Source organism: Homo sapiens, chromosome 2 (assembly GCF_000001405.40).
Source record: "Homo sapiens chromosome 2, GRCh38.p14 Primary Assembly".
NCBI classification, from domain to species: Eukaryota; Metazoa; Chordata; class Mammalia; order Primates; family Hominidae; genus Homo; species Homo sapiens.
The window spans coordinates 171,693,516-171,717,116 of NC_000002.12; the positions used below are offsets into that span (position 1 = coordinate 171,693,516).

At 36.4% G+C, this 23,601-nt stretch overlaps 1 protein-coding gene across 12 annotated transcripts in view; it reads left to right on the forward strand.

Annotated features, from left to right (window-relative positions):
* Positions 1-23,601, forward strand: part of DYNC1I2 (dynein cytoplasmic 1 intermediate chain 2) — a 62,690-nt gene that overhangs the window by 6,047 nt on the left and 33,042 nt on the right. For 4 of the 12 annotated variants that reach the window (NM_001320882.2, NM_001378455.1, NM_001320883.2 and 1 more), the window contains exons 4-6: positions 13,772-13,862; positions 19,252-19,311; positions 21,813-21,928. In NM_001320882.2, coding sequence (NP_001307811.1) covers positions 13,772-13,862; positions 19,252-19,311; positions 21,813-21,928 — 267 coding nt within the window. Of the gene's footprint in view, positions 1-13,031; positions 13,050-13,717; positions 13,863-19,251; positions 19,312-21,812; positions 21,929-23,601 lie in introns of all 12 variants that reach the window. The other 8 variants (NM_001271788.2, NM_001271790.2, NM_001271789.2 and 5 more) reach the window with 3 other exon arrangements.

Genomic DNA, 23,601 nt, shown 5'->3' on the forward strand with positions numbered 1-23,601 from the left:
AAATAGTTCTGTGCTGGGTGCTATTATGTAGTATTTTAGTTTAACATGGCCTTTATCCTTTAGAGACCTAACATTTTAGGGCTAGTTGGTGGGCTAATTTTATCTAGTCCAGGGGACAAATACTGGAGATTGTAAATGCTCTATGCTTGTTGTGAAACTGCAACATAACTGTCCTTAGAGCTGATATTTCTAAAAGGTTTCAAGATGAAAAGGCTGGCTACTCTCATGGTCAGCTTCATTGTTATTTCTTTCAGCTCATTTTCCTTTTCTTGTAGAATTTGAAGACTGAAGTATATTAATTTTATGTATTTATTCAATAAGCTTATGTTGAACATGCAATTTTAAAAGTAAATGAATCAGAACACTTAATTTCTTGTAACTAAACCAAGTTGCTTGTTAGCCTTTGTTTGAGTTACCTTTTTTTTCTGTGCTTTGGCTTTTGTTTTTCTCCTATAGGATTTTTTTTCTTTTATGTTCTTCTTAAGACTTTAGTTTCACTGAACTCACTTGTTCATATTTCTTTCTTCTTTTTTTTTTTTTGAGGCTGAGTCTCACTCACTCTCCCAGGCTGGAGTGCAGTGGCACAATCTCGGCTCACTGCAACCTCCACCTCCTGGGTTCAAGCGATTCTTCTGCCTCAGCTTCCTGAGTAGCTGGGACTACAGGCTTGTGCCACCACGCCAGCTAATTTTTGTACTTTTAGTAGAGACAGGGTTTCACCATATTGGCCAGGCTGGTCTCGAACTCCTGACCTCATGATCCACCCACCCCTAAAGTGTTCATATTTCTTAATTTATGGCTGGGTTAGTTCTTTGTGTTGCTATAAAGAAATACTGAGGCTGGGTAACTTGAAAAGAGGTGGCTGGGTGGGGTGGCTCACGCCTGTAATCCCAGCACTTTGGGAGGCCGAGGTGGGCGGATCACCTGAGGTCGGGAGTTCAAGACTAGCCTGACCAACACGGAGAAACCCCGTCTCTACTAAAAATACAAAATTAGGTGGGCGTGGTGGCGCATGCCTGTAATCCCAGCTACTCAGGAGGCTGAGGCAGGAGAATTGCTTGAACCTGGGAGGCAGAGGTTGTGGTGAGCTGAGATCTGGCTATTGCACTCCAGTGTGGGCAACAGGAGTGAAACTCCGTCTCAAAAAAAAAGAAAAGAGGTTTAATTGGCTCATGGCTCTGCAAGCTTTACAGGAAGTATGTTGCTGGCTTCTTGTGGCAAGGCCTCAGGAAGCTTCTAATCATGGCAGAAGGCAAAGGGGCGTCAGCATGTCTCATGCAGTGAGCAAGAGCAAGAGGTGGGGGGAGGTGCCACACAGTTTTAAACAAAACCGTGAGGGATCCGCCTCCATGACCCAAACATCTCCCACTAGGCCCCACTTCCAACACTGGGGATTACATCTCAACAAGAGATTTGGAGGGGATGTCCAAACTGTATCAATGGCCCATCTCCATCATTAATTCTTGAAAGACCATTCTTTAGGGTTTGTGTATGTGTCCCTCATTTCTCATCTCTAATTCCATTCTCATTCCCACTAATGCATTAAGTGACCACTTTTGCAGTTTTTGTTTGTTTATTTGTTTGGTTTTTGGTTTTTTTTTTGAGACGGAGTCTTGCCCTGTCGCCCAGGCTGTAGTGCAATCACGTGATCTCAGCTCACTGCAACCTCCACCTCCCGAGTTTAAGCGATTCTCCTGCCTCAGCCTCCCAAGTAGCTGGGATTACAGGCACGTGCCACCACACCTGACTAATTTTTTGTATCTTTAGTAGAGACGGGCTTTCACCACGTTGGCCAGGCTGGTCTCGAACTCCTGACCTCATGATCCGCCTTCTTCGGCCTCCCAAAGTGCTTGGATTACAGGTGTTAGCCACCATGCCCGGCCCACTTTTGAATTTTTAACATACATCCTTCAGATTATCCTCTGTTTTTCAAGGTTTCACATATCTCTGTGTATATATACTTTATATATATAAATGGCATAGTGCTGTATGTCTTTTGTTTATTCCATGTTGCTATATACGTATTTAGTCATTTATTTCTAATATATAATATCCTATTATGTACCACATTTTACTTATCCATTCCCCCAGTGCTATGCACTCAGTTTCCTTTTGTCTCTTTGCTTTACTATCATAAGCAACACTGCAAAAAATATGTGTTTTTTCCCTTGAGGACTGTGGAATACTTTCTCTGGGGTGTATCCCCAAGAATTTACTTGCTATGTTATTGTATATAAGACTTAGCTTAATTAGGTTCTGCGTGTCACTCTCCAGAATGGCTACAAAGTTTACCCGCCCGCTACCAGTGCATGAAAAAGTAACTGCTTTACCATATTCACATGATGACTGGATATTATCCAGCTTTCTAATTTTTGCTAACTTGATGAGTATAAAGTGGTACACCAAAATGTTTTAATATACATTTATCTGATTACAGTGAGGTTGACCACCTCTTTATATATCTTTTAACCATTCAAGTTTTCCCTTCTGTGAACTGCATATTCATGTCCTTCTCCCCATTTACTATGATTGAGGTTCTTTATCTTCTGATGTATAGGCATTCTTTGTGTATTTTGTATATTTTAGGGAGGACTTTTGTCTGTTTTAGTCTTTTTAAAAACCCTTCTAATCTGTTAACTGCTTATAATATTCTTCATTGAACAGAATCCTCTATTTTGATATGATCAAATCCTTCATTTTGATATGATCAAATCTAGCAATTACAGGCTAAGTATTCCTAATCCAAAAATTCAGCATTCAAAATGCCCCAAAATCTGAAACACTTTAAGCACCAACATGACACTCAAAAGAAATACTGATTAGAGAATTTCAGATTTCAGATTTTTAAGTTAGGATACTGAACTGCTAGGTATAATGCAAATAGTCAAAAATCCAAAATAATCTGTCACCTTTGGTCCCAAACATTTTGGGTAAGGGATACTCAACCTGTATAACCCTTTTTTGTGTGCTTTTGGTCTTTTTTAAAAAGAAATTGTTTCCTACATTGTGGATGCAAATATATTCTTCTATGTTTTTCCTATTAATTTTATAGTTTTACCCTTCACATGTAGATATTTGGGTTATATTTTTAAAAATAGTATGAGGTAGGGATCCAACCTAATTTTTCTCTATATAGGTAGCTAATTTTCTCAGTGCCATTTGTTAGTCTATCTTTTCCCCCACTGAAGTCCGATGCCAACTTTGTCATACAGTAAATTCCCATATATTTATGGGCATTTCTGGGCTCTCTATTTTCACTATGAATCTATTTGTTTGGTTCTACACAACCCAGTTTTAATTACTGCACCTTTGTATTATATTCTAATTTCTGATACAGAAAATCACCCCCTTTGTTCCTTTTACAAAATAGTCCTAGGTTCACAAACATTTTTCTTTCCTCAAGAAATTTAGTTTGTTTCCCTCCAAAGTGTTGCTGTACCATACATACATTGCATTGCTATATGTTTTTATTTTTCTTAATTATTATTATTATTATTATTTTTGAGACAAGGTCTTGCTCTGTCACCTCGGCTGGAATGCAGTGGTGCAACCATGGCTTGTTATAGCCTCAACCTCCCAGGCTCAAGCGATCCTCTCACCTCAGCCTCCCAAGTAGCTGGGAACATAGGTGCACACCACCATGCCCAACTAATTTTTTTGTTTTGTTTTTGTTTTTGTTTTTTTTTATAGAGATGGGGTCTCACTATGTTGCCAGGGCTGGCTTTGAACTCCTGGGCTCAAAGCGATCCTCCTGCCTTGGCCTCCCAAGGTGCTGGGATTACAGGCATGAGCCACTACACCCTTCCTAATTTTTAAAAATCTTGAATATTCTCCACACACATACTACTTTTTGCCTCATGATATCTACTTGTTGAAGAGGGTGGGCCAATTGGTTTGTAGACTGTCTCCCCTCCTGGGTTTGTCTGATGGCATTCTCACATTTAGCTTTTATCCCTTATATTTCCTTTAAACTGGAAGTTAGATTTAAAAGCTCAATTTTGATCTAATTCGAACTGTGTGTGGTGGTTCACACCTGTCATCCCATTACTTTGGGATATGAGAGAGAAAGGAAGAACGAAGAAAGATATTTGGGAGGCTGAGGTAGGTGGATCACTTGAGCCCAGGAGTTCAAGACTAGCGTGGGCAACATGGCAAGACCCTGTCTCTACAAAAAAAAAAAAAGAAAAACAAAATTAGCCAGGCATGATAGCAGGCACCTGTAGTCCTAGCTACTGTGGAGGTTGAGGTGGGAGGATCAATTGAGTTTGCAAGGTCAAGGTGCTGGCCATGATCGCACTACTGAACTCTAGCCTGAGCGACACAGCAAGACCCTATCTCAAGAAAAGAAAAGAAAAGAAAAGAAAAGAAAAGAAGCTTGATTCACTTTAGGCTGAACTTTTTTGGCAAGAAAATCTCATAAGTGATGTTGTGTCCTTCATATTGTATCATATTAGTAGCACATCTCTGGCTATTGAGCAATGCTAAGCTTGATTATTGGGTTACAATTGTGATAACCTGATCTCTCCATCATAATTAGCCCCTTGTGACTAATAGGTAATATCTGAGGGTGATACTTGGGCACTATGTGACTATTAATTTCTTTATCAGCCTTTTATCTGATGGTGTTAATACTCATCGATGATCCTCATCTAAGTTATTTAATTAAGAGTTGCAGCATTGTTTTTGTAATTCTGCCATTCTTTCTGCATTTATTGGCTAAAGCTCTTCTGTAAAGGGGAGCTTTCTCTCAATAACTAGGGGTTTTGGTTACCCTAAATGTTAGAAAAGCAGGAGACATGTTTACTTTTTTGCTTTAATTACTCATAGTCACCTCTAGGCATGGCAGATGAGTTTTTGCATGTATTTTATCTCTTTTTTTTATTTTTTGAGACAGGGTTTCACTTTGTCACCCATTTTGGAATGCAGTGGTGCGATTTTGGCTCCCTGCAACCTCCGCCTCCCAGGCTTAAGCAATTCTCCCACTTCAACCACCCGGGTAGCTGGGACTACAGGCATGTGCTGCCACCACACCCAGCTAATTTTTAAATTTTTAGTAGAAACAGGGTCTCACAGGCCAGGCACGGTGGCTCACACCTGTAATCCCAGCACTTTGGGAGGCTGAGGCGGGCGGATCACGAGGTCAGGAGATCGAGACCATCCTGGCTAACATGGTGAAACCCCATCTCTACTAAAAATACAAAAAATTAGCCGAGTGTGGTGGTGGGCGCCTGTGGTCCTAGCTACTTGGGAGGCTGAGACAGGAGAATGGAGTCAACCCGGGAGGTGGAGCTTGCAGTGAGCCGAGATGGCGCCACTGCACTCCAGCCTGAGTGACAGAGCGAGACTCTGTCTCAAAAGAAAAGAAAAGAAACAGGGTCTCGCCGTGTTGCCTAGGCTGGTCTTGAACTCCTGAGCTCAAGCAATCCACCCACCTCAGCCTCCCATAGTGTTAGGATTACTGGTGTGAGCCACCACTCCTGGCCTGCATGTATTTTAAAAATAGATTAGCTAGGCTGGGCATGATGGCTCACGCCTGTAATCCCAGCACTTTGGGAGGCCGAGGCAGGCAGATCATAAGGTCAGGAGTTCGAGACCAGCCTGGCCAAAATGGTGAAACCCCGTCTCTACTAAAAATACAAAAATTAGCTGGGCATGGTGGCAGGCACCTGTAATCCCAGCTACTCTGGAGGGTGAGGCAGGAGAATCGCTTGAACTCGGGAGGCAGAGGTTGCAGTGAGCCGAGATCGCGCCATTGCACTCCAGCCTGGGCAACAGGGTGAGACTCCGTCTCAAAAAAAAAGAAAAGGAAAAGATTAGCTAATATTTTATTGAGGGTTTTTTGTATATGTACTAATGAATGAAATTTGCCTTTGATTTTCTTATACTATCCATGTTCATTGGTCATCATGGTTATGGTTTTAAAATAAATTGGTCAGTTTTTGCTTTTGCTATTTTGTAGAATAATTTATAAAAGATGCCTGTTTCTTAAAAGCTCATTAGATTTCCATTTTAAAACTGCCTTGATTATGACTTTTTTCTACAGAGAGTAGAGAGCAGGGGTTATTCATCATTTGGAGTGTGTGTGTGTGTGTGTGTGTGTGTGTGTGTGTGTGTGTGTGGCGGCGGGCGGGGGTGCAGTTTAGAGACAGGGTCTCAGTCTGTGGCCGAGACTGGAGTGCAGTGGTGTGATCTCAGCTCACTGTAGCTTCAGTCTCCTGGGCTCAAGTCCTCCTGCCTCAGCCTCCTAAGTAGCTGGGACTACAGGCAGGTATCACTATGCCTGGCTAGTTTAAAAAATTTTTTTTTGTATAGATGGGGTCTCGCTATGTTACCCAGGCTGGTTTCAAGCTCCTGGCCTCAAGTGATCCTCCCGCCTTGGCCTCCCTAACTGCTCAAGTTTTTTTAATGGTTATAGTCTCTTCAGATTTTCTATTTCTTCTTATGTCTGTTTTTTTCTCCCCAAAACAATAAACATTTATTATCTCTTATAGTTTCTGCTGGTCAAGAATTTGGTAGCAGCTTAGCTAGGTGGTTCTGGCTCAACTTCTCTCATTGGGTCAAAGTCAAGATTTCAGTTAGAGCTTTAGTGATCTGAAGTCTTGACTGAGGCTCGAGGACTTGCTTTCATGGTGGTTCGTTCACATGGCTGGCAAGTTGGTGTTGGTTGCTAGTGGGACAGCTGAGTTCCCATCCTCGTGGGCCACTCCACGGATCTACTTGAGTATCCTGGTAGCATGTTAGCTGGGTTCTCCCAGAGTGAGCAATCGAAGAGAAAAAGAGAGTCAGAAGAAAACTGTCCTTTTTATGACTTAGATTTGGAAGTCACAAAGCATCACCTCTGCCACATTCTGTCCATTGGAAGAGAAACACTAAGTCCAGCCCACATTCACAGAGAATTTACCCATAAATCAAAGTCACAAATTTTTGAGGGATTTTCTGAGAGATTTCAACATTTAAAAAAATCGTAGCCTTATAAGTGATGAAAGGCATTTTAATAGAGTTTTAAGCAGGATAGTGTCTTAGATGGGTCACTAAACCAAACTACTGTAGAGACTAAAGACTGGCTTGTTTAATCGTAACTATAACCAGCTTTCAATTACCCTAGTTTTTTTGTTTTTTGTTTTTTGTTTTTTTGAGACAGAGTCTTGCTGTGTCGCCCAGGCTGGAGTACAGTGGCGTGATCTTGGCTCACTGCAAGCTTCACCCCCTGGGTTCCCGCCATTCTCCTGCCTCAGCATCCAAAGTAGCTGGGACTACAGGCGCCCGCCACCACGCCCGGCTAATTTTTTGTATTTTTAGTGGAGATGGGGTTTCACCGTGTTAGCCAGGATGGTCTCAATCTCCTGACCTCGTGATCCACCCTACTCAGCCTCCCAAAGTGCTGGGATTACAGGTGTGAGCCACTGTGCCTGGCCAATTATCCTAGTTTTATAGCCTGTCTTAGGTGACTCTGATTTTTGAGAGTTGACTCTGAGAAAAGTTGGTTAAAATAAAAAATATGTCTTGATAAACCATTTGTAGCCAATAACAAACTGATTTTATCTTAATGGATTTGAACTCAAAAACAAGCTTTTTGCTGGGGTAAATATTGTAGTATTAGTATTGTATTTTTATATTCATCTTGAATGGGCATGTTTAGACTATAAACTTTAAAAGAGATCATTCCCCTGCTATTTTTCTTTTTTTTGGAGACGGAGTCTTGCTCTCTCTCCCGGGCTGGAGTGCAGTGGCACGATCTCCACCTCCCAGGTTCAAGCAATTCCCCTGCCTCAGCCACCTGAGTAGCTGGGATTACAGACATCTGCCAACAAGCCCAGCTAATTTTTGTATTTTTGGTAGAGACGGGGTTTCACCATGTTGGCCGGGCTAGTCTCGAACTCCTGACCTCAAGTGATCCACCCACCTGGTCCTCCCAAAGTGCTGGGATTATAGGTGTGAGCCACTGTGCCCAGCCCCTTGCTGTTTTTCTTTATGCCAACTTTTTTTTTGTTTGTTTATGAGTGTAGATACAAGAGAGAAAGGGAGAAGGAAGAAAGATACCATTAAACTTCATACTGTTAGTTTAATGTTATTACTAAATTAAGCCATGGAGAGATAATTTAGTTAAGTAGCTACTTTTTAAAATAAAAATGTCCCTAGTGAACATGATTGGCTATAGAAAGGTTTTGAAGAACATTTTATATATGATTTAAACTTTGTTGAGTATTTGGATTAGTTATAAGACAGTGGGGAAGGTAGCATATTTTATCTCCAGTCATTTTATAAATAGATTATTAATAAAAAATTTTTTACAGAGTATACTATCTGGCATAATTTTCAACAAAGGTTTTTCTGAGTGGGGCGGAATAGTATCTTCCTCTTGATTAAATATTAGCTTATCTGTTGTGAACTATTTGACTTCAGAGTTTTTAGCTGTCAGTAATTAAGAGTGGAGACTCAATTCTGGTCAAGATAGAACATTGTAGGGAGCAGTAAATAAATATGCTTTGAAAAACAAGCCAAATGTCATTGCTTTAATTTATTTAGCTTATGATATCTATTTGAAATTTTCAATAATGTGTAGGCATGTGAGATTGTGTTTATCAAAGCAGCATGAGCTGATTAACAGTTGAATTACCAGTTTCTCCAAATAGCTATGAACAAAGGGTTGGCTGTTCCTTCCCAGAAAAGGTTAACACTGTATTTAGATTTAAGAATTTAAGTTTCCAAGTTAGATCTACATCTTTTCCTTTCTTTGAGGTTCTTATTTCTAAATGATGTTTCCCTTTCTTGTTGGCAGATTTACCATTATAATGGAACCTGTGAAGGGTTAAAGGCTTTCTGAAGATCTCATTACCGTTAGAAAATTAGGCTAAGTGCATTTCATAATCCTTAAAACATATGCCTACAAGTCCAGTATTTATTTGTAATTTGGCCTGAAAAATACAGGATACGGATGAAGGCCATGGCTTTCAAACCTTTTTTGACAGTAAACCACAGTAAAAAATCTATTTTGTATCATGACTTAGGATGGATACTTGTTTTTCTTTTCAATATAGAATGTACTCCTTATTAAATATTTTTAAAGCATAGAAGTATAAAAACACTGGGTTTATTTTAAAAAATCAATCTATTGTTTTCCTAAAGTGGATTTTTTTTTCCTACTAAAAACAATTGGTTTAAAGAAAAAAGAGATACAGCTAATCAAACCTCTCATAACTTTTCTTTGCTGGTAGTTTTTTTTTTTTTAAACAGTCTCACTCTGTTGTTCAGGTTGGAGTACAGTGGCACAAACTGCAGCTTCTACCTCCAGGCTCAAGCAGTACTTTCACCTCAGCCTCCCAAGTAGCTTGGACTACAGGTTCACACTACCATAGCCATCTAATTTTTTTGTTTTTGTAGAAATGGGGACTCACCCATCTCTACAGGCTGAGTGTGCAGGCTGGTATCAAACTCCTGGCTTTAAGCGATCCTCCTGCCTTGACCTTCCAAGATGCTGGGATTACAGGCATGAGTCACTGTCCCTGCCTACTGGTAGATTCTTAATTATTTGGCAACTTGATGACTTTTTGTTAGAGATTCTTGAGAGCAAGGAGAATATATTACTTACATTTTTACCTCTGGTGCCATCACAGGCTAGACACCTAAATTTTTGTTCCATTATTACTAGGTCATGTCTTACCGCCTGGTAAGGGCGAATTAAAGCCATTCTGCTTTAGGACAACAACTAAATCGTATTGTTTAATTTAATTATTTTTTGAGACAGGGCCTCACTCTGTTACCCAGGCTGGAATACAGTGGTGCAACCATGGCTCACTGCAGCCTTGACCTCCTGGGCTCAAACAATCCTCCCGCCTCAGCCTCCTGAGTAGCTGGGACTACAGCCATGCGCCACCATGCCCAGCTGATTTTTTGTAGAGACAGAGTCTTGTTATGCTGGCCAGGCTTGTCTCAAATTTCTAGGATCAAGGAATCCTTTTGCCTCAGTCCCCCAAAGTGCTGAGATTATAGGCATGACACATCACACCCGAGCTAAAATGTTATTTTCACTTATTAATTTCTTTTTTTTAATGTAATGCTCTAAATCACATTGACAAGGAGAATAAAGGAAATGAAACTCTTACGAGAGATTAGTAGAGGATATTTAAACCTCATTATGAAGAGAAAGAGCAAGGGGAAGGAAGAAATTAATATTTCAGAGAGTTAAGGTTTAAAGTAACATCTTTCAGAAGGTCAAAAAAAAGTAAGGTATGAAAAATAGGTAGTTATTTAAATTTTAATATTCCGGGCTAAGAACACTTGTGTCCAGAAGGGGGCATTATTGTAACGTGGACTGTGTTTGAGTACTGAGTATCATTGATGACCTTAGAAGAGACTTCACAACTTTGGGTTCCACGCATCCCAAAAGCTCACTCCTTCCATTTCACAGTCTTCTACCAACACTCCCATTCCCTACATTCACCTTCCTTAGCTTTCTACCTTTTCCAGGTCTTTCTTCCTGATAAAAACCCCTTCTTGCCAGAGGCTTTCTTCTACTTGAAAAATAATTCAGCTATGTGCCATCCTTTGCCCTTGAGACTTCTGTGTAGTTCTGAGTGGTTGACCCAGACTTAATGCTAATTCTAAATCTAGGTGCATTCCCAGGTCCTTTGTGGTCTAAAAATATTCTAGTTGTTTCTTCACAGGCCAGAAGCCAGCAGTGTTAATTTTATATCCTTGGAAGGACAAGGTCTAAGCTGGTAGGAAAGGCTTTCTTGATTGCCTTTTTGTCCTGGATAGTTAAAGAAGTACAGTCTTTCTCACATTACCTACATGATCAGTGACTGCCATGGTTTAGCTTTTTTTTTTTTTCTTTTTTTTTTTCTTCTGTGACAGTTGTCAAAGAAGAGAATAGGTATCTGTGCTCTAAACTTCTAAGAAGCTGAAATTCATTAACATATTCACCTATGTTTATATTAATTCCTTTACTTTATACCATTTAAAACCTGTTTTAGGCTGTTTATGTGCAGAACTGTGGAGTAAAGGTAATCTGATTGAATCACTGTTCTTACTAAGCAGATCATATCTCAGATACTTGGCAAAAATTAATTAGTAATGGTTTATGTTATTTTCAAGGCTGATTAGACTTACAAACTGTCTTTAAAAATGAATTCCAGAAGTGAGTCTTTTCTTACATTTGAGAACCTGTGAGTTGATTAGTGTTTCTGTTTTGTTTTGGCCTCCTGAATGCATGCATTCATTTGTTCTCAGGGGTTTATTGAAGTCTGGGAATATAGTGGTATTTGCCTTCTTGCATAATTCTAGTATTCTTTGATTTTTCTAGATTAATTGGATTAAAATGTAGCAGTTACCAAATAACACTATCATTCCCCTTTTTAAAAATTAATATTCCTCCTTTTGTAATGATAGTAATTTTTTTCTAGGATTGTCCCTTCTGTGGTATACATTATTTATTATTGCAAAATGTAGCTGTGGCTCAGATAATAGCTAAGAGTCCTTTATAGAGTCTTTTCCATCATTTGGCTTGAACCTATATTTGGGAGAAAGAAGATAGTTCTGGGATGGAGATATTTATATAATTACAAATGTGAAGTCACTGTGATTTATTTTGGCTTTGGCTAAGAAACTGTGATAATATGGTAGCATCACCCTTTTATTTTTTATTTCTGAAACTTTTATTTCAGAACTGGCTGTTAATGTATCTGTTTATCTGTGTAATTAGTATTTAGCCTGTTTCTGTAAAGAATTTTGATTAACATTTTTTAAAAATGTAGTCTTTAACCAAGTAAAATACTGTTGAACTTGTTCAGTGGAGTCATTGATACTTGAAATCATCAGAAAGGGGGAAAAGCATGTTAAACTGAAAAAGAATTCTGTAGTTCATCACAAATAGATTGATGGGAATTTTACTAATTTTCCTCCAACCTCTGATATGTACACTTGGAAAAATTGTTTTTCTGAGTATGAAATTAGGTATGTAATTTAAAGCATACAAAATTTCTTCTTTAAAAATCTTGAAAACATTGTGGTGCCTCACTATAATTTAATAAACATTTATTTGTGTTTACAGCACAGTAGGCAAACAACTGTTAAGTATTACTCTAGTCCTATATCAGTTGGGACTTAGACTAGGGGAAGCCTCACAGTGAAAGATGGACAAAAAATGAAGAAATGTAACCTAAGATAAATTAAGGGACATTAATATTCTTCTACTTTAGATGAAAATCATTTTTAGGTACTTTGAATTATACATACAGCACCTAGCACAGTGCCACCTACATGTAAACTATAGGAAGCTATCTGGTCTTATAGTTGTTTCTGACACATTTAATCACAATATTAGAAACATTGATGAAGTTTTTATAGTCCTTTGAAATTTAAGCAGTTAGCCACTGTATCTTAGGAAAGAAATATTCTAGTTGTGATTTTTTTTTCTTATAATCTTATTGGTGTCAATTAGAATTTACCATTGAAAAAATAAGGATGATCAGTTTTATACTTATGTTTAAGATGTGAGCCATCATAATATATTATACATTTTGATAGATTACCAAGCCCACTGTTTTTACTGCAGCGTGTATAAACATTTAGACATAATTTTAAGGTTCAATGAATGTGACTATCCTAAAAAACACAGACTTTTAATTAAATACTTATTTCTTTAGTTCCTATATAACTAGGAACTTGCCTTCTTTTCAGTAGACTGTTAAAAGAAGGGCTTTCAGCTCAACATAAACTGTATTAGTCACTTAATATCATACACTGAAAAATTATTTTGAAAAGATACTTGGGATTGGGGACATTTATGATAAAATTTAACCAGAAGATGGCAGTGATGATCCTCCTATACTCCCTGCAACGGTAATCAAAAAGTTTTACAAATGTCATAGCATGAAATGTGCACGTTCAGCTGTTGTTATATAATGTTAAAAGTTGAGGATCTAGGGGAAAGCACTTGCTGTTTATTTTATATACTATGAAAAATGTGTATTTTTCTATAAGAAGGGATTAAGAATATTTTGGGTGTCTGTATCTTTGTCTGTACACTTCAGTTTTTTCTGAATACTGGGGTAAGGAAGTTCCCATAAGTCTTGCCTTGTTTATTTGCATGCATCACTTTATGTTATGCATAATGTCTAGAAGGCATGCTGTTTTATTGCCTGTTTGCATTTTTCACCCAAATTGCTGGAAACTAATGAACATTTTAAAGGAGCCATTCCTTTAGCTGCAGTCATTTCTCTAAATTGATATCTTTTTTTGGGGGGGAGGCAGTGAAATCATTTTAAACATTACTTTTTGAAAGAAAAAATTATTAGACAAAAGTTAATATTTTAAAATAAATCTTGAGAAACTAGAGATTAAATAACTTAATGAAACATATTTCAGAGTTGAATTTTGGCAGCAATTGTAAATAATATTTATAATCTGGTGATATTAAAAGTGAAAAGTTACAAGGGGGAGAAGGAATGCTCTCCTTTGAAAATTAGTGGCCACATTTGGTGATGGATGAGATGAAGATGCATCCTTCCATAATCTTGCCTTTTTAAAAAAATTATAAAGCTCAAATGCATTTTGCCAGAAAAATTGCATGAATCTTCAGCATGCATTGTTAACTTTTTGTCTTTTCCCCTTTCTTTCTGCTGTTCATTTTCATTCATATATTTTTGATTTTTGGTTTGCCATTGTTTTTTTCTTTTTTGTTAATTACTTCATTAAATTATTTTTGAAACGTCATAAGCTGAGCAACCTCTCCGTGTAGTAACAGCGGATACCTGTCTATTTCACTATTTAGTCCCTCCTCCTATGTCTCCATCCTCCAAATCTGTGAGCACTCCAAGTGAAGCTGGAAGCCAAGACTCTGGAGATGGCGCCGTGGGATCTAGGTACAGTAATTTTCCTTTTAATGTTTTAATGATAGAATGCATTCAGTGCCCAAATACTGTTGATACTTTAAAGGGACTCTAAATAGTTGTGTCGAGTTAGTCCTAACATTTTAAAATCTAAAATGGCATAGAAATTCTCTGTTGGACACTGGGAGAAAAAAAAGGTTTCTTTGTTTTTTTTTAATAATATTTTAACTGTCACATTTAATTAACTTAGTACTAAATAGTCAACCGGTTTTATGCTAATTATTTTATATTAAAAATAGAGATATTAATGCTTTTAGATTTTTCTGTTTAAACTTTTTGTTGGTTATTACGTGAATGTTTTGGGTGTAAATAGTGTAAAACCTCTCTCTTGTGCTTGATTCCCCATTCAGTAATTGAAAATGTAAACAATTCTGTTAAACAGTTCAATTCTGTTCTATTAAGTCATTAGTTCTGCTAATTAAGATAGAGAATAATAATGCATAAAATGTCAAGAGTAAGGAATAACTGCTAAGGACAACATTGAGAATGTTTACTGTCAAGCATTCCTGAACTTGCATCTTCCTTGTAAAATTACATTTCGTGTTTGTTTTAGGATCCTGCATACATGTTGGGACTTGCTTTTCAAAAGTTCAGTAAGATTTCAGCTTTCTTTCAAAGATCATATTGGGAAAAGTATTACTACTTATTCCTCTTTGTCTCTCTCACACACACACACACACACACACACAAAATAGTGAGTATTAAATGTACTTTTTGACTTCTGAAATGAAATTAAACATAGGTAGTCAAAATCCACAGCTGATTAAGAATGCTTATTTTGGGCCAGGAAGTTGCATGTCCTCACCAAGAAAATCTCTTAACACACCTTTTAATAAGACATAAGCTGTTAGAAGTTTTAAGCTTTTTATGCCTGAGTCCCTCTAGTTGAAGTTACAAACCAGTAATAAATATCTAAAAGACAGGGCAAGAAAAAAAAAGCAAGGTGGCTGGATGATCTGTAAACTCAATACTTCAATCAGCTCTTGAATAATCAGGTTATCATTAACAATTAAAAGGCACATAAAGCTTGCCAGCTTGAATTTGAGAAGTGCTTTCCAAATAGAACCAAAATCACAAATCTAAGCTATACTATCTTTGGAGGAAAATGACATAACTCTTTCATTTAAGGAAAATCAAAATTTTCTTTTTAGAAATAATGTTATTACCTTATAAAATAGTATGCATTACAGAATAAAGACAATTTGTCTAGTGTAAATTCATTTTTATAGGGTTAAAATTTTTTTTCATATTTTGTGCTTCTATATTTTTATACAAATATGTCATTATTCCTTTATTTTTTATTTTTTTTGCAGACAGGGTCTCTGTCACCCAGACTGGAGGGCAGTGGCGCAATCTTGGCTCACTGCAACCTCTGCCTCCTGGGCTCAAACGATCCTCCCACATCAGCCTCCCGAGTAGCTGGGACTGCAGGCACGCACCATCATGCCTGGCTAATTTTTGTATTTTTTATAGAGACAGGGTTTTGCCATATTGCCCAGGCTGGACTCGAATTCCCAGACTCAAGTGATCCACCCACCTTGGCCTCCGAACGTGCTGGGATTATAGGCATGAGCCACTGCACCCAGCCACTATTCCTTTAGACAATTAATAATCAACTGGCATTTTTAAGTGAAAGCGTTTTTTTTTCCCTTCTACAACATTACCATAGTAAAAATGTTTCCCAAGATTAAAAATTACTATATTTATTAAATGTCTTTATTTGATATTATACATTATTTTTATGTAGATACTATACTGTGTACATTATGACTCATCGTTCCTGATTTTGAATAGTAGATTATTTTAATTCAGTGTCAGCAAGTTTGCTTTCAAAAGTACTTTGACACTTAAGTTTTTTAAATTAATGTGAATTAAAACATGTCCCCATGAGTTTTATGGACAACCCAGAGATTATTAGAGACCTTTTAGAATATTGTAAATTAATACAGGGAGTAATAATGGTAAGAAAAATATTTATTCATGTATAGAACAAATATTAAGTTACCAACTTTATTAAAATACTATGGTTTACCACAGAAGATAAAACATTCATGGTCCTTGCTTTCATAGAATTTACATTGTAGTGATTACATCATTAATTTAAAGATACTGTTGACTTTATTGGAAAGCCCTAAGGGTAGTGTGCTATGTTTAGTGTGAAGCATAGTTTTTTTAATGATAAATTGTAAAACACAAAAACAAATAGTTAATATTTTTTAAAGTATTTGTTCTTGTTAGATAATGAATACAAAATTGGTTTCTTGTGAGTTTAACGGAGAGAAAAATCCTCTTTTTGAGTGAGGTGACCTTACATCTTTCTTTTTTTCTTTGAGATGGCATTTCCTTCTTGTTGCCCAGGCTGGAGTGCAGTGGCACGATCTTGGCTCACTGCAACCTCCACCTCCCACGTTCAAGCGATTCTCCTGCCTCAGCCTCCCAAGTAACTGGGATTACAAGCATGCACAACCGCGCCCAGCTAATTTTGTATTTTTAGTAAAGACAGGGTTTCACCATGTTGGCCAGGCTGGTCTCGAACTCCTGACCTCAGGTGATCCACCCACCTCAGCCTCCCAAAGTGCTGGGGTAGCAGGCTTGAGCCACCGCACCCAGCCACATCTTTTTAACCTTAATATGTACGTTGTCTCCTTTGAGAGCACAGACTCACTTGGAAACATTAATTTTCAAGAGGGCTGAGTATATTCATTTTTATGTATATATACACACACACACACACACACACACACACACACACACACACACAGAGTAATAGAAAATGATGAATTCTACTAAATCATATCCAGCTTTCATAGAGGTAATTAATATTGTGATGGTGATATTGGCAGTGAAATAATGCATTTCTAAATATGTGACATTTAAAAAGAGTGCCCAGGTCTCAGAATGAAACCTAATGAACTCATATTGAGCAAACACGATGTTAATGTAAGAATAAAGACAATTAGAAGAAATATAATAGGAAAATACATGAAGACATGTGAGATGTGTGCATGCACCTGTACGTGCAACTTCAGTTGGCTAAGATGGTCTAAGATTAATACACTCAGGGAGTAGGAATAGATAAGACATTATAAAATATGCTGTCTAAACATGTTTGAATCACTCTAAGTGCCAAGAATTTCTTTTGGGACTGGTGGTAATTTATGAATAAATATAAAAGGTCGTGAGAAATAATCTCTCTCTAACTTTGCAGATTAGGAAGCTGCATTACATTTGTTATCTCAAAAATTTAGGAACAATTATTCAGTGGGGTAATCCAGGCCTCTTGTTCCTTTTTTCCTTTTTTTTTTTTTTCTTTTTTGAGTCAGAGTCTTGCTCTGTTGTCCGGGCTGGGGTGCAATGGCGTGATCTCGGCTCACTTCAATCTCTGCCTCCTGGGTTCAAGCAACTCTCCTGCCTCAGTCTCCCCAGTAGCTGGGATTGCAGGTGTGTGTCACCATACCCAGCTACTTTTTTTTTTTTTAATGCTTTTAAGTTCTAGGGTACATGTGCACAATGTGCAGGTTTGTTACATATGTATACTTGTGCCATGTTGGTGTGCTGCACTCATTAACTCATCATTTACATTAGGTATGTCTCCTAATGCTATCCCTCCCCCCTCCCCTCACCCCACGACAGGCCCCGGTATGTGATGTTCTCCTTCCTATGTCCAAGTGTTCTCATTGTTCAATTCCCACCTGTGAGTGAGAACATGCGGTGTTTGGTTTTTTGTCCTTGTGATAGTTTGCTGAGAATGATGGTTTCCAGCTACTTTTTGATTTTTAGTAGAGATGGGGTTTCATCGCGTTGGCCAGGCTGGTCTCGAACTCCTGACCTCAAGTGATCTGCCCACCTCGGCCTCCCAAAGTGCCAGGATGACCGGTGTGAGCCACCGTGCCTGGCCCATTTTTCCATTTTTGATCAGTTTACTTCTCAAGCTTTGTACTTGGAATTGTACTCTATGTGCCTGAAGATGCCCCTAATAAATGTAATAATGTACAGGTATGTCCAGTGCATTTTCAGTACTGGCTGTATTTTGAGGTACAGTGTTACTTGATTTTAGACTAAAATGACATCCTCAACAAGGAATTTTATGTCATTGATAACAGAGCTCTTACATAATGTAAATGACAGAACATTCCTTGGAGACCATCTCATAGAACTTTTGATTTAACAAAGCCTAAGCTTGTTGCTATTCATTGCTTAGTACAAAGTAGATCTTCACTGTGGCTGCTTCTTACATTGCATACACATAACCTTGTTTAAATTCCAAGATCTTTCTTTATATTTTTTAAATGAAGGATTTCTCTAGATTAATTCATTACTATTTTTCTTGATAAATTATATAGGCAGGTAGAGAAACCATTTGTTGTATTAAAACATTGTAGCAACTAAAACTAGTTATAAATTATAATGTCTTACATAAGTGAAAAATATATTTGACAAAAATGGTAATACTAAATGTATTGTGCTTAACTTTATTTAGTGGGGACTATGAGCATTATACAGTACCATACATAATTATCTTATATATTGCTAACCTATATAAATGCCAGTATGATAAAGCACCTTTTGTTCTATTAGTAACTAAGTTTGGCTTAAGTGGAAAAGATCCTCTGTAAGTTACTTAGCCAGCAGGCGATGCTAAAACTTATAACTCAATATTTAGGATTGACATTTGAACATAAAATATTTTTCCAGGGAAAAATCTATTTTTTTCCTAGAGACAGAAATCTTTAGTTGTTTTCTTTAAGCAGATGATACGTAAGCCCAAGGCGGTGCTTAACCCATAAATTACAGAAGGGTCACATTTTGGAAACTTTAGCTATTTTGTATCCCAGTGGGATAGTCTTTGGTTTTATTACCAAAAGGCTTATGTGTTGACTCATTTCCTTTACCAGTATGACAATTTCCTGCACACATGTAATGCTTTGGGGAAGATTAGAATATGTTAACCAAGATGTTTTAATGTGTTTGTTTTCATTAGGAATCTTAAAATTTCAACCATTTTATAGCCTAGCTTGTTATCCATAAATAATTAACTTGGGTTGTCTGACTTTAGTTGTTCTAAAGCAGATCTATTATTATACAATATTAGTTTCCCATAATCTGCAAATAATGTCTTTTAACTATTCTGGGTTGTATGCTTGCATCTTTAACCATAGGAAGCCTATTGCATGCACTAGATGATTGAGTGACCTGGTGGATTTCTTGTTTTGTTTTCGATTTTTTTTTTTTAATACTAACCAGAACATGTGTTTTTTAATTGTGAATAGTACTTTAGCTTTAGCTATTCATAGAATGTATTTGCTTGACTAACTTATGGCCTTTTTTGCTAATGCTTCATGGTTGTCCTACAACCATTTAGGACGCTGCATTGGGATACAGATCCATCAGTTCTTCAGCTTCACTCAGATTCCGATTTGGGGTATTGAATAGATTTTTTACCTTCCCTGTTTTATAATGAATTTGATTCTTTGTGAAACTGTCCTAATTTTATTTTGCTTAAGTTTATAATATTGTATCACGTAGTAAGGACAAGAGTTATATTTTACTGTGACACCTCATTTATCCAGTATCTTTAGTGAAAGAATATTCTGTGTGATGTTCTATGTACCCTGAGTCCATTTAAGTGTCCAAATGTTTAAAATTATTTCTATGTTTTTAATACAAGTTTTGTAGGATGTATTAAAAAACTTCTCAGACTTCTTCTAATATTCTACATGTAATTGAACCTTTTCAGGGTTACTTGATATGAATATTAATTTATTTTTCTGTATTAAAATTCACTGATGATTTCTAAGATTTTGAGAATAATGGAGATGCTGGTCCTTACACTGTTCATTCATTCATTACTATTTATTCATGAATCTAGAATAAAACTATTCATGAATCTAGAATAAATAAATGAGTGAATGAATGGATTAATAGATTATTCATAGAATGTATGGATGAATATTCTTAATATAATTGTCATTGAGCCCCTAGGTTAAATAAATAGGTTCTTTTCTTTCTTCCTTTTATTTTTGTTTTGTTTTTTGCTTTTTTTTTTGGCATATTTTCTTAGTGAAACGTTAGAAAACTAATGCTTTATAGTTTCTGTATGTCTCTTTTTTAGAGTTTTAAAACTTGTTCTTTTAGAAGTTAGTGTTGTAAGCTGTATGTATGGTTTTTTAATTTTGTTGACATAGAGATAAGATTATCCATCCATTCATTCATTCAGTTATTTATTCTAGATTCTAATGCAAATTATAAATGTTTGCTGCTGCCATTTTGCCTGACTCAGATAGCCCTTTTCCCCTGATAATTTACAGCTTCAAAAACATATGAATATACCTTTTGGAATTGTGTCTAAAGTAAGGTAAATAAGCCTTGATTTGAGGCATGTAAGAAAAATATATGAGTTTCTTGTACTTGAACTGGAAGCCCTCTGTAGTGGCCACACTGAGGCTTCCCCCTCCTGCCTCCCATTGCTTCCTTATTTTCAGTAAAAGTGGCTTTTGGATAAGTGAGGTATTACTTCCCTACCCACCTCCTCCTATAAAATCTTGGAATATTTCGTTTGTTTAGTATTATGGTTTTTTCTGTTAGACTCTGTATGCATTCAAGTTGGTAATTGATTCCTAATATTGTTGGCTTGACGATTTTTTTCCAGCTATGTGAGTGATTTACTTTTTATATAATTTGCATCTTAAAAATCAGAATATAAAGTTTCTTATTTCAAATTTTATTCTTAGACTTCTAGATTACTTCAGATTACTTAAATTGTCCACTTAATTCTTTGACTATACTTTTTTTTTCCCTTTCTTTTTTATTTCTAAACTAGAAAAGACATTAAAAAATTGTTATGGCCCACATTTTGGAACATTAATTTTTAAAATGTACTAATTTTATTATACTTTATAGTACTTTGTTATGCTTTATTAGATTGTATAGGACTTGGATTTAGTTACTAAATAGAACTGAAAAGAATATTTATATAAGAAAAAAGTTATATTACCAGCGATAGCCTGCTTTATATTCTGAAAGTTGCAGCAGTGTCTTTATTGTATATCCTTTTAAGGCAGCTTCATCACTGAGAACTTTTTTGGGAGTCTGGAAGCGTACTTTATTTGGTTTAGGATTTAAACATCTAATAAAACCAATAAAAGATCTCCCAGATAGCTAATAAAATATATTTTTCTTTTGGTTCATTTTCCTCAGCCACAGCTCTCTTCCATTGTCAAAAAAGAATGTATACCCTGTATTTCTAAACAGAAGTGACTTTAGTAGATTTATGGTATTCAAAAGATCTGTCACTTTAGTCTAAGTGTAGAATATCTGGACCTTAGTTTCTCCATAATGTGAATCAAGGACAGTATTGATCATGCAGAGATTAGAGATTTAAAAGTTTTAAATATTTCATTTTAAAGTCCAAATTGATAGTGTAATTCTCAATTTCTGCCAAATATAAGTAGAAAAAAAGCTTTCAACAGAAACCTGTTTTTCAGTCGTAAAGCTGAATTCTCCTAGTGGCACAATCAGCTAAATGTGGTCTGAGTGATATCTAGTCTGATTCTTAAAAAAAAGTCCAGAAAGAACCATATCCCAGCTGAAACCAGTTCTTACGACAACCTTATTCAGTGGTCCACTCTGAAGTTCCTATTCTCTTACTTCATTATTGCCCGCACATTTGTTCTAAAAAAATGAAATTACTTGCCTTTTTAAAATGAAAATAAAAACACTGAATGATTCAGAAATATCTTTTGCTTTTGCTACCTTCTCATTCTTTTGCTAAAATAAAGCCAATTTATTGTTAATCTAAAATTTCTTGAATAAAATGGATTGAAATTACAATGTTGGGTGCAAATGACTGTTTAATTCTTAATTTTTGAAAATAACATGGTTTGATGTAGTTAAAATTGTGTTGTTTGTATTTACTTAATTTAGACGAGGACCTATTAAACTTGGAATGGCTAAAATCACGCAAGTCGACTTTCCTCCTCGAGAAATTGTCACGTATACAAAGGAAACTCAGACTCCAGTTATGGCTCAACCCAAAGAAGGTGAATATCTATCCTTAGTATAATTGTCATTGAGCACCTATGTTAAATACATAGATTCTTTTTTTCTTCCTTTGATTTTTGTTTTGTTTCTTTTTTGCTTTTGTGTTTTGGCATGTTTTCTTAGGGAAACATGAGAAAACTAATGCTTTACAGTTTCTGTATTTATGTCTTCATTTTTTCGAGTTTTAAAACTTATTAGAAGTTAACGTTGTAAGCTGTATGTGTGGTTTCTTAATTTTGTTGACATAAATTTAAGTCTTTCAGCCCTTATTTTGTCATTAATGTATACTGCTTTTAGAAGCCAAAAAGCTTAAGAATTTTCTGTTTCTGTCATTGAGCATAATTCTTCCCCAAAAGAGAGTGGGTCCCATAGTAAACAAAGTCATGTAAATTATTTCTGAAAAGCATACTGTACCCTGATGTTATTCATACTAATGAACAAATCTAGACTTAATTCTTAAATTTTCTCTTTTATGATATAGGGGCTCTATTTTGTTGATTAGTTAGTAGCCTGTAATTTGTGTATAGTATGGGGACGTATGCACAGACCTATTGAATGTGGAGACCCTTTGGTTCTTAAACCAGAAAGCATTACAAATAGCTAACGATTCAAGCATAAAGTACTACGATCTCATTTTCCCAGTGAGGCTAATGAATTTATATCATACAAAAAAAAAAGATTTATGTGAGATCCCTAATACACTTCACAGTGTCTTTTCTGAAGCTTTTGGGGCCATATATATATTAGAATTCCAAGTTTTTCAGATTATGTAAAAGTAATAAAATATATGTATTATATGTTAACACTCTAGTAGTATTTTGGGCATTAATATTTTGGCAGCAAAACATATGAACATACTAAGTGAGATAAGTAATGATTATAAATAGCTTTACCTCTGACTTTACCATGTCAGAGTTTACCACCAAATGAGTTATGGATTTTAGAGCTGTTAACAATTTTGGAATAGAAATTTTATCAGATGTTTAAATTAATGTATTTTTAAATTTTTAATTAAATTACCATGTTTCTCCATTAAGGAAAAACAAAAGTTATATTCATTGCAGAAAGCCAGGAAATACAGGTAAGCAAAAGTGAGGAGAAATCCTTGAAATCCCTGTCTACTACCAAAGAAAATCTTTAAATTTTCATATTTGCCTAAACCTAAAAAAAAGTTAGGATTGTGGCCGGACGTGGTGGCTCACACCCGTACTAGCACTTTGGGAGACCAAGGCAGGTGGATTGCTTAAGATTAGGAGTTCAAGACCAGCCTGACCAACATGGTGAAACCTTGTCTCTACTAAAACTACAAAAATTAGCCGAGCGTGGTGGTGGGTGCCTGTAATCCCAACTACTCTGGAGGCTGAGGCAGAAGAATTGCTTGAACCCGGGAGGCAGAGGTTACAGTGAGCCAAAATTGCGCCACTGCACTCCAGCCTGAGCGACAGAGCAAGACTCCGTTTAAAAAAAAAAAAAGAAAATTAGGATTGTAACTATTTACAACCTTTTGACTTAATAGTAGATCATCACAGACACTTTTAACTACTCTCCTTTTGCTGCCCTCTGAGGATGGAAATGAAATAAATACATTAAACTTTTCCTTTCAGTCTTCTCAAAAGGAGGCAACATTATGATACACATATAATTACACTTTCAAAATTTTGAGGAAATTGGT